Raw genomic sequence first — 15,034 nt, 5'->3', positions numbered from 1 at the left:
CTGAGGAGACTGAGGTGGGTGGATCGCTTGATCCCAGGAGTTTACAATCAGCCTGGGCAGCATAGCAAGACCCCATCTCTACAAAAAATAAAACAATTAACTGGATGTGGTGGTACATACCTATAGTCCCAGCTCTCCAGGAGGTTGAGGTGGGAGAATCGCTTGAGCCCAAGAGGTTGAGGCTGCAGTGGGCTGTGATTGCACCACTGCACTCCAGCCTGGGCAGCAGAGCAAGACCCTGTCTCTTGAAACAAAACAAAACCAACAACTATGTAACACATGAAGGAAAGCTCCAATCACATCCTCCTAAGGCAACCACTAATATTCCTAGTACCTATCCTTTGTATGTTTTTTTCTATGTGCTAACTCATGTGATGACTATTTTAAACAAATTGTCCCGTGTTCTCAACTGTGTTTTTTTTTTAGACAGAATCTCACCCTGTTGCCCCGGCTGGAGTGCAGTGGCACGACCTCGCTGCAACCTCCACCTCCCAGGTTCTGGCGATTCTCCTGTCTCAGCTTCCCAAGTAGCTGGGATTACAGGCGCCTGCCACCACGCCTGCCTAATTTTTGTATGTCTAATAGAAACAGGGCTTCACCGTGTTGGCCAGGCTGGTCTTGAACTCCTGACCTCAAGCGATTCGCCCACCTCGGCCTCCCAAAGTACAGGGATTATAGGCATGAGCCACCATGCCCAGCCCCCCATGTTCTTGTATCCCATCTCACAAAATCCCCATGTCCTAAGACCTACTTTACAGATGAGGAGTACTGAGGCCTGATAAAGGGGTGTGACTCATCCAAGGCCCCACACCACTCAGTGGGAGATCAGGCTCATTCCAGGGCATGGGTGTTGGTGTTGTATACATGAGGTACCTGGTCAGAGCTAGGAGCAGTTCCCACTGCTAAGGGAAATTACAAGGCTTTGTTTTTATTACACACCCTGCTGCTTTCCACAAAGGTTTTAAGACTGGGAACTGAGCCTCCTCTATCTGAACAAGTAGAATAGAGGCCTGAAAGCACAAAATTGGCTTTGTGTCCAGCAGACACACCCATTCTCAGGAAGGTGAGAATTCCCTCCCTGCTGAGAATGGAAGTAGGACAGAGAGAGAGGGAGGCCAGCATGAGGGTGAGTCTGTCTTACCTCTGGAGTATCCTGGAATGGAATGAGTGAGTGTCAGAGGAGAGAACTGTCACTTCCCCAAAACCAGCCTGGCAGGAGAAACCATGAAGTCTTAACACAGTTCCACTGCCACCTGGTGGCGGCGTACTCAATTTGCAGGCTTAGTGTGTACCCAGTAGTTCTCAGTCACATACTATACTCAGTCACATACCTAGAAAGACCCATGGTCACTCCTAGTCCACAGAACCTTCCAAATCTTCATTCAGGCTGGTGATGCCCTAGATTTGATTTCACAAACAAGGATGTGAGCCCAGGAATTGTGGACCTGTCTGCGTGTGCCATTTCTGAGGAAATTCAAGTTGCCCACCGCCACCACCCCAGCCTTCCCCCATTCCAAGATCCCACCACAGGGCCAATCTTGGTACCAGCAGAGCAGGAACATCAGCCTAGAAGCTGCCACCAAAGAGCCTCAACAGACTGCCTTTTGCCTTCCAGACAGTCAAGGTGACGTGATCCAGCCCCTGCGGAAGCAGGTGGAGCTGCTCTTCAACAGATGATATGGTGAGCAAGAAGTGGGACAGGGTCTGGGGGCATCCCAGCCCCCCTCCAGCTGCCCTGTTTGCAGAAGGGCTTTGGACCCATCCCCTTGCCAGCTCCCATCCCAGCTGCTCTCTGGGCAGGGACAAGGGCAGGGACAAGGGAAGGGAGGAGCTGGGGCCCTCCTTAAAAAAAAAGAATAAGATAAGATAACCTCAGTGGTTGCTGCTGGGCATGGGGCTAGGTGCTTCCCCACTTTTTTTTTTTTTTTTTTTGACACCAAGTCTCACTGTATCACCCAGGCTGGAATGCAGTGGCACAGTGTCGGATCACTGCAACCTCTGCCTCCCAGGTTCAAGCAATTATCCTGCCTCACCCTCCCGAGTAGCTGGGATTACAGGTACCCGCCACCATGCCTGGCTAATTTTTGTATTTTTAATAGAGACAGGGCTTCACTGTGTTGCCAGGCTGGTCTTGAACTCCTGACCTTAAGTGATCCACCACCTCGGCCTCCCAAAGTGCAGGGATGACAGGCATGAGCCACCGTGTCCAGCCCCCGTGTTCTTGTATCCCATCTCACAAAATCCCCGTGTCCTAAGACCCACTTTACAGCTGAGGAGAACTGAGGCTTGGTAAAGGGTGTGACTCGTCCAAGGCCCCACACTACTCAGTGGCAGAGATCAGGCTCATTTCAAGGTGTGGTGTTGGGCCACACCAGCGTGTGGGGTTGCTTATGGTGGCAGGAGGAACACTCGGGGGGCCTTACTGGAAGGGTGAGGCTGAAGGGACTCAGGGGGAAGCAATGCCGAATCTCAGCAGCCATTAGCGGTGGCTTCTGTGCTGCCTGGGCATGAGGGCATGGACCCAGTGTGGGCCTTGGGGTAACCCTGGGTTGAGTTCTTATCCCCTGGCTCTGTCGTTCAGTGGCTCTGTGACCTCAGACAAGTCATGTCCCCTCTGAGCTCCAGGTTCCTTTCCTGCAGGCTGGGGAGCTACTCTTTCCACCTCCCAGGAAGGCTGGCAGGCCCTCAAAAGGGCTCTGGCAGCTTTGCCCCCTACACAGGCATGGGACACAGGGGTTGAGGCTCCTGGCCCCATGGCACCGGGTGGCCATGTCTCTGCAGCCATGTCTCTGCAGCCAAGGCCATTGGCATCTTGGAACCAGTCAAGATGCCGTACTCCAAGTTTCTGATGCACCCGGAGGAGCTGTTTGTGGTGGGGTTGTCTGAAGGCATCTCCCTCCGCAGGCCCAACTGCTTCGGGATCGCCAAGCTCTGGAAGATTCTGGAGGCCAGCAACAGCATCCAGTTTGTCATCAAGAGGTAAGGCCCAGCTAGGTCCATGGGAGACAGCACCAGGACTGCTCAGCACCCGGGGCAGGAGCAGCACCAAATCACCATCAAGCGATTCTTGTGCCTCAGCCACCCGAATAGCTGGGACCACAGGTGTGTGCCACCATACCCAGCTAATTTTTTGATTAATTGATTGATTGATTTTATTTTTTTAGAGATAGGGTCTGGCCACATTGCCCAGACTGTTCTCAAACTCCTGGACTCAAGCCATCTCCTGCCTGGGCCTCCCAAAGTGATTACAGGCGTGAGCCACCGCGCCTGGCCACTATTTCTTTTTTCCTTTAGACAGAGTGTCACTCTGTCTCCCAGGCTGGAGTGCAGTGGTACGATCTTGGCTCACTGCAACCACAGCCTCCTGGGTTCAAGTGATTCTCCTGACTCAGCCTCTCGAGTAGCTGAGACTACAGGTGCCCACCACCACTCCCAGCTAATTTTTGTATTTTTAGCTGAGATAGGGTTTCACCATATTGGCCAGGCTGGTCTTGAACTACTGACCTCAAGTGATCCTGCCACCTCAGCTTCCCAAATTGCTGGGATTATAGGCATGAGCCACCACACCAGGCCTTTCTTTTCTCTCTCTCTCTTTTTTTTTTTTTCTTTGACAGCAAGGTGTTAGATGGGTTTGGCTGCAGTTGGCAGATGTGAGGCTTCTCAGGCCTGTCAGACCCAAAGCCACCGAGCTGACCCCTCTCACAGTCTCAGGAGAGCAGTGTTCAGTTTGCCCAGATGCAGAATGGGAATGTCCCATCAGCTCACAGGTTCTCCAGGCTGGTGTGTTGGTGTCCTGGGCCAGGGGCTGGTGGCAATGCCCCATTGTCCCAGGATGGGAAAGTCTGGCAGTGGCTTCTCCAGGCTCTTTCTGTTTCCTTGAGCATGTTGTGTTTTTGCCAGTGAGGTCCCAGGGCAGCACCCATGGATACACTCTGTGTGCCCAGCTAGGATAAAATGTCCCTTTGGAGAAGGCGGTGGCAGTTATTGAGTAAAAATGTGGTCGGGGGATTTCAGGAACAGTGGTTCATGCCTGTAATCCCAGCACTTTGGGAAGCTGAGGTGGGAGGATTGCTTAAGCCCAGGAGTTCAAGACCAGCCCGGGCAACATAGCAAGACTGTGTCACTACAAAAAAAATTTTATAAGCTCTAGTGTAGCAGCACATGCCTGTAGTCTCAGCTACTCAGGAGGCTGAAGCAGAAGAATCACTTGAGGCCAGGAGTTCAAGACTAGCATGGGCAACATAACAAGACCCCATCTCTACAAAAAACTTTTAAATTAGCTGGGCATGGTGGTGCACACCTGTAATCTCAGCTACTCAGGAGGCTGAGGTGGGAGGATCACTTAAGCCCAGGAGGGGTTTGGAGGCTCCAGTGAGCTATGATTGCACCACTGCACTCCAGCCTGGGTAACAGAGCAAGACCCCTCCTCAAAAAAATAAAAAAACAAAACAGGGAATGGGAGGATCCTATTTCCATTTTGTGTTTGTTACTTCTGTGTTACTGTAATAGCATACATTTAGGCTTGGTTTATGGTTGGGCACGATGGCTCATGCCTGTAATCCCAGCACTTTGGGAGGCCAAGGCAGGCAGATCACTTGAGGTCAGGAGTTCAAGACCAGCCTGGCCAACATGGCGAGATCCCATCTCTACTAAAAATACAAAAATTAGCCAGGCGTGGTGGCTCATGCCTGTAATCCCAGCTGTAATCTCCCTGTCATCAGGAGACTGAGGCAGAAGAATCAGTTGAACCCGGGAGGTGGAGGCTGCATTGAGCTGAGATGGCACCACAACACTCCAGCCTGGGCGACACGGTGAGACTCTGTCTCAAAAAAAAAAAAAAAATTAGGCTTGGTTTGGTTGAAAGCAGCAAGAAAGAAGAGACTCTTAAGGGTTTGTTCATCCAGGGGAATAGATGGTTCTCAAACTGGGAGACTCACAGTGTCATTTTTGCATAAAGTGGCGAGGAGATCTGCTGGGACAGGGAGCTCTTCTGCAGGGCCTGCTCTATGCCAGGAGGGAGGCTGCTGCTCCATGACACACAAAGAGCAGATAGCAAAAAGCTATGCAAAAGGGCTGGAGAGCAAGAGTCGTGATTCATGCAGTAGAATCAAAGGCTTCAGCAGGCCAGGATGAAATGCAGCCACATACCTGGTGTGTCTGGGCATATTAAAAGGAAGATTGAGCTGGGCACAGTGGCTCATGCCTGTAATCCCAGCATGGGAGGCTGAGGTGGGCAGATCACTTGAGATCAGGACTACTAAAAATACAAAAATTAAGGCCGGGCACGGTGGCTCACACCTGTAATCCCAGCCCTTTGAAAGGCCGAGGTGGGCGGGTCACCTGAGGTTGGGAGTTCGAGACCAGCCTGACCAATCTGGAGAAACCCTATCTCTACTAAAAAATACAAAATTAGCCAGGTGTGGTGGTGGGTGCCTGTAATCCCAGCTACTCGGGAAGCTGAGGCAGAAGAATTGCTTGAACCCAGGAGGCAGAAGTTGCAGTGAGCCAAGATCATGCCATTGCACTACAGCCTGGGCAACAAGACCAAAACTCCATCTCAAAAAAAAAAAAAAAAAATTAGCCAGGCTTGGTGGTGTGCACCTGAAGTCCCAGCTACTTGGGAGGCTGAGGTGGGAGGATTGCTTGAGCCAGGAGTTCGAGGCTGCAGTGAGCCATGATTGCACCACTGCACTCCAGTCTGGGTGACAGAGTAAGGCCCCATCTGAAAAAAAAAAAATGTAAATACATTCTGGCCAGGCGTGATGGCTCATGCCTGTAATCCCAACACCTTGGGAGGCCCAGAAAGGAGGATCGCTTGAGCCCAGGAGTTTGAGACCAGCCTGGGCACTGTATGGAGACCCCATCTCTACAAAAAATTTTTAAAATTCTCACACCTGTAATCCCAGCACTTTGGGAGGACAAAATGGGAGGGTCGCTTGAGGCCAGGAGTTTGAGACCAGCCTGGTCAACATAGCGACCCCATCTCTATTTGATTTTTAGAATTAAAAAATTAGCCAGGTGCAGTGGTATGTGCCAGTAGTCCCAGATACTTGGGAGGCTGAGGCGGAAGGCAGAAGAATCGCTTAAGCACAGAAGGTCCAGGCTGCAGTGAGCTATGATGGCATCACTGCACTCTAGCCTGGGTGACAGAGCAAGACCTCGTCCCTTTAAAAATACAAAGAGAGGGCCGGGCGTGGTGGCTCACGCCTGTAATCCCAGCACTTTGGGAGGCCGAGGCGGGCGGATCACGAGGTCAGGAGATCGAGACCATCCCGGCTAAAACGGTGAAACCCCGTCTCTACTAAAAATACAAAAAATTAGCCGGGCGTAGTGGCGGGCGCCTGTAGTCCCAGCTACTTGGGAGGCTGAGGCAGGAGAATGGCGTGAACCCGGGAGGCGGAGCTTGCAGTGAGCCGAGATCCCGCCACTGCACTCCAGCCTGGGCGACAGAGCGAGACTCCGTCTCAAAAAAAAAAAAAAAAATACAAAGAGAGGCCGGGCGTGGTGGCTCACGCCTGTAATCCCAGCACTTTGGGAGGCCGAGGCAGATGCATCAATTGAGGTCGAGAGTTCGAAGCCAGCCTGGCTAACATGGTGAAACCCCATCTCTACTAAAAATACCAAAAATTAGCTGGGCGTGGTGGTGCTCACCTGTAGTCCCAGCTCCTCGGGAGGCTGAGGCTCAAGAATCACTTGAACCTGGGAGGTGGAGGTCACAGTGAGCTGAGATCGCATTACTGCACTCCAGCCTGGGCGACAGAGCGAGACTCCTTCTCAAAATAAATAAAAAAATATATATATAAATAAATAAAACACAAAGAGACAAACAAACTAAAAAACCATCCTGGATGCCTGCCAGGTCCTGGGCTTGCAGCCCAGCGGTAAATGCCACCAAGTTGCCCTGGAGTTGCCGATGTCACCCAGACAAAATCACAACATCATGTCACGTAGAGATAACTGCTGTGACAGGATATAATTCAGAGTGAGGGGGAGAGAGGGACAGGAGGAACCTGGAAAAGGAGGTGACATTGGAGCAGCGACCCAATGAAGTGAGAGGGCCAGCCAGGTGCATAAAGAGTGTGGGAGCAGGCCAGGCGCAGTGGCTCATGCCTGTAATCCCAGCACTTTGGGAGGCTAAGGCAGGCAGATCACAAGGTCAGGAGTTCGACACTAGCCTGACGAACATGGTGAAACCCTGCCTCTACAAAAAGTACAAAAATTAGCCAGGTGTGGTGGTGCGTGCCTGTAATCCCAGCTACTCAGGAGGCTGAGGCAGGAGAATCGCTTGAACCCAGGAGGTGGAGGTTGCAGTGAGCCGAGATCATGCCATTACACTCCAGCCTGGGTGACAAAGGGAGACTCTGTCTAAAAAAAAAAAAAAAGACTGTGGGGATAGAGAAAAAGTCATGCCAAGTCTCAGAGGCAACAACGTGCTTGTGTGTTTGAAGGCTCGCAAGGTGCCCTTGTAGCTGGTACGGGGTGAATGAGGGAAGGATGGTGAGGTTGAGGCCCAAGAAGTAGCAAGGGACCAGGCGCAGTGGCCCATGCCTGTAATCCTAGCACTTTGGGAGACTGAGGTGGGAGGATTGCTTGAGCTCAGGAGTTTGAGACCAGCCTAGGCAACATAGTTAGACCCTATCTCTATAAAAAAAAAGAAAAATAGGTCAGGAGCGGTGGCTCACGCCTGTAATCTCAGCACTTTGGGAGGTCGAGGAGGGTGGATCACCTGAGGTCGGAAGTCCAAGACCAGCCTGGCCAACATGGTGCAAACCCATCTCTAAAAATACTGTCATGGGGTGAGGGGAGCGGGGAGGGATAGCATTAGGAGATATACCTAATGTCAATGACGAGTTAATGGGTGCAGCACACCAACATGGCACATGTATACCTATGTAACAAACCTGCACGTTGTGCACATGTGCCCTAGAACTTAAAGTATAATTAAAAAAAACAAAAGAAACAGAAAAAAAATACAAAAATTAGCCAGGTGTGTTGTTCGGGGTCGGGGTCCTGTAATCTGTAATCCCAGCTCCTCGGGAGACTGAGGCAGGAGAACTGCTTGAACCTGGGAGGCAGAGGTTGCAGAGAGCTGAGATAGTGCCACTGCACTCCAGCCTGAGCAATAAGAGCAAAACTCTGTCTCAAAAAAAAAAAAAAAAGAAAAAGGTAGCAGGGGCCAGATCGCATGGGTTTGGGGCCAGCTTAAAGAGTTTGAATTTTATTTTTAAAAAATTCTTAGAGACAGGGTCTCATTCTCGTTTGTTTTTGTTTTTGTTTTTGCTTTCAACGCCCACTCCCTCAAACCATAAACCAGGGGCACCCGGGCAGCTTGAGGTTAGGTGCCAATTCAACAGCAAGTCCTCATGAATGACATTTTTTATGGTTTTGTGCAGAGACACCTTGTGCTCATGAGCATTGTTTTTTTGTTTTTTGTGGGTTTTGTTGTTGTTGTTGTTTTCTATTTTTTGAGACAGTCTCATTCTGTTGCCCAGGCTGGAGTGGAGTGGTGCGATCTCGACTTACAACATCTGCCTCCCGGTTCAAGCAATCCCCCTGCCTCAGCCTCCTGAGTAGCTGTAATAACAGGCGCATGTCACTATGCCTGGCTAAATTTTGTATTTTTAGTAGAGACGGGGTTTCACCATGTTGGTCAGGCTGGCCTCAAGTGATCCGTTCGCCTTGGCCTCCCAAAGTGCTGAGATTAGAGGCGTGAGCCACCATGCCCAGCCTTTTGCGGGTTTTTTTGAGACAGAGTCTCGCTCTGTCACCCAGGCTGGAGTACAGTGGTTCCATCTCGGCTCACTGCAGCCTCCACCTTCCAGGTTTAAGCAACTCTCCTGCCTAAGCCTCCTGAGTAGCTGGGATTACAAGCATGAGCCACCATGCCTGGCCATGAGCATTTGTTTTAAGAGACAGGTCTTTCTGAAGCCCAGGCTGGAGTGTAGTGGCACAATCATAACTCACTGCAGCCTTAAACTCCTGGGCTCAAGCAATCCTGCCTCAGCCTCCTGAGTAGCTGGGACTGCAGGAGCACGCCACCACACCTGGCTAATTTTTACATTTTTTGTAGAGAAGGGGTCTCGCTATGTTGCCCAAGCTGGTCTCAAACTCCTGGGCTCAAAGCGATCCCCCTGCCTCAGCCTCCCAAAGTGCTGGGATTACAGGTTGAGCCACCATGCCCAGCCTTGAGCACTTTTTAAAGTCACGATGGCTTTCTACACCTGTCATTTGGAAAAGGAGGCAGATCAGCGCAGTGGCCGACGGGAGAGGCTGTCTGGTGGGTTTGAGGCCAGCTCCTCCTGTTACTCCCTGTGGCCTTGGCAGCCGGCTGTGCTATTTAAGGGGAAGCACTGTCGCTACTCTGGCCTGGGACTCAGGGGCTCTGCCCAGCTTCTGCCTCTCTAAGTTTACTGCTGGGAAGTCACTTCCCCTTTCAGAACCTGAGTTCTCCCATAAAGAGGAGGGGCCCAAATGCAGTCCGAAGCCTTTTCTAGCTCCTGAGACTGTGGTTCAAGGCAGGGTTATGCTTCCCCCTCCCAGCCCTGGCCCTGTGACCCCAGCTCTGTGCCTGGCACTGTTCAGAAGCTTAAGAGATGCCCACCGCCAGAGCAGGCACCAAATCCTCATCTACTGGGGACCCAAGGGGTGCCCTCCTTGAGAGTTTGGCCTTTGGGCTCACTCTCAGGCAGAGACTCCTCAGTGCTGCTGCTTGATTACCCCTGTGACAGAGAGCTCATTACCTCTCCACTCCATGGCCTACCCTGCCATCCCCCGACAGCCCCCTTCTGGCCAGCATGATTTTCCCAGTGTCCTCTACCCACCACAAACCCCAGCCCCCCAACAGGCTTGCTCTAACAGGACAAGTTGTGCTGAAGATGGAGACTTTAGAAGCAGTGTGGTATGATAAAGAAGGTTGATTCATGTCTGGACAGGGCTTTCTGGAGTCTGTGGAGCTAAAGACATTATTATAATACAAAGCTGGGCTTGCTCACTGGCACTCCCGACTGCATTTACACAGCAGCTCTCAGATGTGAGCCACAGATCTGAGACCTTTCCAGAAGCTCAGAGTTCTTGCTATGTAGTGGACCCCGACTGTTTCTACACTTTATTTATTTATTTATTTATTTATTTATTTATTTATTTATTTATTTTATTTATTTATTTAGAGATGGAGTCTTGCTCTGTCATCCAGGTTGGAGTGCAGTGGCGCTATCTCAGCTCACTGCAACCTCCGCCTCCTCAGCGATTCCCCTCCCTCAGCCTCCCGAGTAGCTGGGATTATAGGAGCCTGCCACCGCACCCAGCTAATTTTTGTATTTTTAGTAGAGACGAGTTTCACCATGTTGGCCAGGCTGGTCTCAGACTCCTGACCTCAAGTGATCTGCCTTCCTCGACCTCCCAAAGTGCAGGGATTACAGGCGTGAGCTACTGCACTAGACCTTGTTTCTACACTTTAAACCAGCTCCACAGGAGGCCCCCTGAGGCCGCCTGCTCCAATCCCAGGTAGTGACAATCGTGCAATGTCCCTGGAGCAGGAGTGAGATATCAGACGGACCTGTTCAGGACTGGGTGGGTCTCACTCCCAGCTGGATCCTTCAAGCCCAGGGCAGCCCCCCAGATTCCACACATGGGGCAGCAGGGACTCCAGGCCTAACTGTGCGGAGCCAGGAGGGTCCATTGCAGGGATGTGCAGACCGAGGCCCAGAGGGGAGGGCTGGGCAGTCCCAGAGATGCTTGGAGGGACCTCTGTGATGGCCCCACTTGTGTTTTCCAGGCCTGAGCTGCTCACTGAGGGAGTCAAAGAGCCCATCATTGACAGTCAAGGTACCCAGCGCGGGGTCGTGGGACATGGTGTGGGCGGGCAAGGGAGGGGCCCAGGAGCCTCTGCCACCAGCCCCTCCTCCTGCTGGCTCTGTCCTGCTCTCATCTTGGCCCTGGCATTCTCCCCACACCCCCGCACTGGGTTTCCCCTAATGATGCCATCTTGGGTCCCAGGAACTGCCTCCTCACTTGGTTTCTCTCCCCCTGCCCTGCCCCCAGAGAGGGATTCCAGGGACCCTCTGGTGGGCGAGAGCCTGAAGAGACAGGGCTTTCAAGGTAAGGTTGAGCTCAGGGGGAGGTCTGTTGTCCCAGCACCATGACCCTGACCTGGTTTGGGATTGGAGGGCCAGGCTGGAAGTGGGGAGGAGCTGGCCCCCAACTTCAGGGCCTAAGGGACCAGGCAAGCCAGGTTAGCAATCCAGGCCCGACTGTACCCTGCCAGCTCTGTGTTAGAGACTCCAGGGGAGAGGAGGTGCCTACAGGTGGATGGTGGGGGGACCTAGGGGGTGGGAGGGTACAGGGCCCAGGAGCCTGCCTGCCCCCCTCCGGGAAGGTAGCTGACACGCCCACTCCTTATTCAGCAATCAGCTGTGGTCTTAGTGCTTTGAAATCAGAATAGGAGCCAGGTGCGGCACCTCACGCCTGTAATCCCAGCATTTGGGGAGGTCAAGGAGGGAGGATGGCTTGAGGCCAGGAGTTCGAGACCAGCCTGGGCAACATGGCGAAACTCCACGTCTACCAAAAAAATGCAAGAATTAAGTCGGGTGAGGTGGCGTGCACCTGTGATCCCAGCTACTCGGGAGGCTGAGGCGGGAGAATTGCTTGAACCTGGGAGGCGGAGGTCGCAGTGAGCCAAGATGGTGCCACCGCACTCCAGCCTGGGTGACAGAGCAAGACTCTGTTTCAAAAAAAGAGAGAGAGAGAGAGAGAGATGGTGGTCTGGGATCCCTTTGGCACATGCTAGCACTTGTCTTCGTTTGTTTTGAGATGGAGTTTTATTCTTGTTGCCCAGGCTGGAACACAATGGCGTGATCTCAGCCCAATGCAACCTCCGCCTCCTGAATTCAAGTGATTCTCCTGCCTAAGCCTCCTGAGTAGCTGAGTTACAGGCTCATGCCACCACAACTGGCTAATTTTTGTATTTTTTTAGTAGAGATGGGGTTTCACCATGTTGACCAGGCTGGTGGTCTCCAACTCCTGCCCTCAGGTGATCCTCCTGCCTCGGCCTCCCAAATTGCTGGGATTACAGGCATGAAAATTTCGGGGAGATTTTCAGTTGCTATTTAATATTTTTTAGCCATATGCATTTTTCTCCTCTCCTTCTGTTACTCCAGTGACAATGATAGATCTCTTTTTTCTTTTAACCATCCCACGGGTCCCTGAGCCTACATTTTAAAAGTTCAATTTTTGCTCTGTTGTTCACATTGGGAATTTCTATTGATCTATATCCCAGTTAATCCATTCTTCGATCACTGCAATTCTAATATGAATTTTTTTTTTTTTTTCAGATGGAGTGTCGCTTTGTCGCCTAGGCTGGAGTGCAGTGGCATGATCTTGGCTCACTGCAACCTCCACTTCCAGTTCAAGTAGTAATTCTCGTGCCTCAGCCTCCTGAGTAGCTGGGATTACAGGCATGCACCAGCATGCCCGGCTAATATTTTGTGTTTTTAGTAGAGACAGGGTTTCACCATGTTGGCCAGGCTGGTCTCGAACTCCTAACCTCAGGTGATCCACTCACCTCAGCCTCCCAAAGTGCTGAGATTACAGGTGTGAGCCACCACGCCCAGCCCTCTAATATGAAATTTAAAAACTTTCAGTTATTGTCATTTTAAATTCAAAAATTTCCATTTGCTTCATGTCTTCAGTGGTTTTGCTGGGGTTTTTCATTTGTTTCAAGCATGTTTGTCTTTAGTTATTGAATTTTTATGATGCCTTCTTTAAAATCTTTGTCAGATAATTCCAACACATGTGTCATTTGGTTCAGATATGATAAGTGATTTTTTTTTTTTGAGACACAATCTCACTCTTGTCTCCCAGGCTGGAGTGCAGTGGTGTGATCTCGGCTCACAGCAACCTTCGCCTCCCGGGTTCAAGCTATTCTCCTGCCTCAGCCTCCTGAGTAGCTAGGACTACAGGCTCCCACCACACCTGGCTAATTTTTGTACTTTTAGTAAAGACGAGGTTTTGTCATGTTCGCCAGGCTGGTCTGGAACTCCTGACCTCAGGTGATCCACCCGCCTCAGCCTCCCAAAGTGCTAGGATTACAGGTGTGAGGTATTGTGCCCGGCCTTTTTTTCTTTTTTTTTTTTTTTTGGCAGAGTCTCACTCTGTCTCCCAGACTGGAGTGCAGTGGCACAATCTCGACTCACTGCAACCTCCACCTCCCGGGTTCAAGTGATTCTCCTGCCTTAGCCTCCTGAGTAGCTGGGATTACAGGCATCCAACACCACGCCCAGCTAATTTTTGTATTTTTAGTAGAGATGACGTTCAGCTATGTTGGTCACGAACTCCTGACCTCAGGTGATCCGCCTACATTGGGCCTCCCAAGGTGCTGGGATTACAGGCAGGAGCCACTGCCCCCAGATGGTCAGTGATTTTTTTTATTGTGTCTTGAAGGTTTGGGGTGTTGTTATGTTAGGAGGCTCTCAATCTAATTTAAATATTCTTTAGCCAATGTCACACTGGTGAAGAAAGTGAGTTGTGACCTCATTATCATGGGTGGAGGTAGAAATCCAGGCTCCCCCCTCAGCCCCCACCAACACCACAGAAGAGGGTGGAGAGGACAGGAACAAACACTTCATTCTCACCTGGCAGGGCTGGAAGTTCAGTCTCCACCCATCCTCTACTGACACTGTGGAGAAAGGGAAGTGCCCTACACTTCCAAAAGCAGGGGGAGGAGTTTCAGGTTCCCCATTCAACCTTTTTAACACACTGAGGAACCTGTGGGCAAAAACTTAAGTATAAATTTCTTTTTTCGGTGGGGTGGGGCACGGAGGCTCATGCTGGTAATCCCAGCACATTAGGAAGCCAAGGTGGGAGAATTGCTTGAGCCCAAGAGTTTAAAACAAGCCTGGACAGCTGGGCGCGGTGGCTCACGCCTGTATTCCCAGCGCTTCAGGAGGCCGAGGCAGGTGGATCACGAGGTCAGGAGATCAAGACCATCCTGGCTAACACAGTGAAACCCCATCTCTACTAAAAATACAAAAAATTAGCTGGGCATGGTGGCACGCACCTGTAGTCCCAGCTACTTGGGAGGCTGAGACAGGAAAATCACTTGAACCCAGAAGGTGGAGATTGCAGTGAGCCAAGATCACACGACTGCACTCCAGCCTGAGTGACAGAGCAAGGCTCCATCTCAAAAAAAAAAAAAAAAAAGATCAGCCAGGACAACATAGTGAGATTCGTCTCCATAAAAAATTTAAATATTAGCTGGGTACAGTGGCACACACATGTAGTCCCAGCTACTCAGGTGGCTGAGACGAGAGGCTAGCTTGAGCCCAGGAGGTCCAGGCTGCAGTAAGTCATGTTCACACCACTGCACTCCACAGCCTGGGTTACGGAGCCAGACCCTATACCCCCCAGCCCAAAGAAAAACAAAAACAAAAAAGAAGAATTTCACGATGGCAGCTACAGAGCCCTAAAGTCCAAGCACAGGGCCCTTTGCAGTCACACCTTTGTGCTTCTCACTCAATTTTCTGTTTTTCGTATCGATCCTGAAAGCTCTTGTTCTCTGTAGGTGATTTATATTTGTTTCTATTGTAAATTGATTTTTTTCTCCACAATGTTTGCTAAGTGGTTAGTAATGGTATATAGGAAAATCATTTTGTACAGTTAGCTTTTATCGCTATTTTAGAATTTTCATCTTTCACTAATATAGAGATGAAATTCTATAGTTTCAATATAAATTCTCTTGGGTTTTCTTTTTTTACATTTCTGTTTTTCAAGACAGGGTCTCACTCAGGCTAGCATGCAATGGTGAGATCACAGCTCACTGCCACCTCAAATTCCTGGGCTTAGGTGATCTTCCCACCTTAGCCTCCCCAGTAGCTGGGACTACAGGTACACACCACCATGCCCAGCTAGTGTTTTTTTTTTTTGTAGAGATGTGGGTCTCACTATGTTGCTGACATTGCTCTCAAACTCCTGGCCTCAAGCATTCCTCCTGCCTTGCCTCCAAAAGCGATTACAGGCGTGAGCCACAACACCCAGCCTT

At 50.8% G+C, this 15,034-nt stretch overlaps 1 pseudogene across 1 annotated transcript in view, besides 2 other annotated features; it reads left to right on the top strand.

Moving 5' to 3' along the window:
* Positions 1-15,034, top strand: part of GTF2IRD1P1 (GTF2I repeat domain containing 1 pseudogene 1) — a 34,894-nt pseudogene that overhangs the window by 17,910 nt on the left and 1,950 nt on the right. The window contains exons 8-10 of the transcript NR_003934.2: positions 1,616-1,681; positions 2,905-2,979; positions 10,775-10,824. The product of NR_003934.2 is annotated as a GTF2I repeat domain containing 1 pseudogene 1 (transcript). The remainder of the gene's footprint in view (positions 1-1,615; positions 1,682-2,904; positions 2,980-10,774; positions 10,825-15,034) is intronic.
* Positions 1,162-1,221: a silencer, noted in NCBI's record as "silent region_18216". NCBI's record gives its function as "represses an Ori minimal core promoter by ATAC-STARR-seq in GM12878 lymphoblastoid cells {active_cell/tissue: GM12878}" and the evidence as "EXISTENCE:reporter gene assay evidence [ECO:0000049][PMID:35858748]".
* Positions 9,688-9,737: an enhancer, noted in NCBI's record as "active region_26088". NCBI's record gives its function as "activates an Ori minimal core promoter by ATAC-STARR-seq in GM12878 lymphoblastoid cells {active_cell/tissue: GM12878}" and the evidence as "EXISTENCE:reporter gene assay evidence [ECO:0000049][PMID:35858748]".

Source organism: Homo sapiens, chromosome 7 (assembly GCF_000001405.40).
Source record: "Homo sapiens chromosome 7, GRCh38.p14 Primary Assembly".
Taxonomy (NCBI): Eukaryota; Metazoa; Chordata; class Mammalia; order Primates; family Hominidae; genus Homo; species Homo sapiens.
This window is presented reverse-complemented; position numbering and strand designations above follow the sequence as displayed.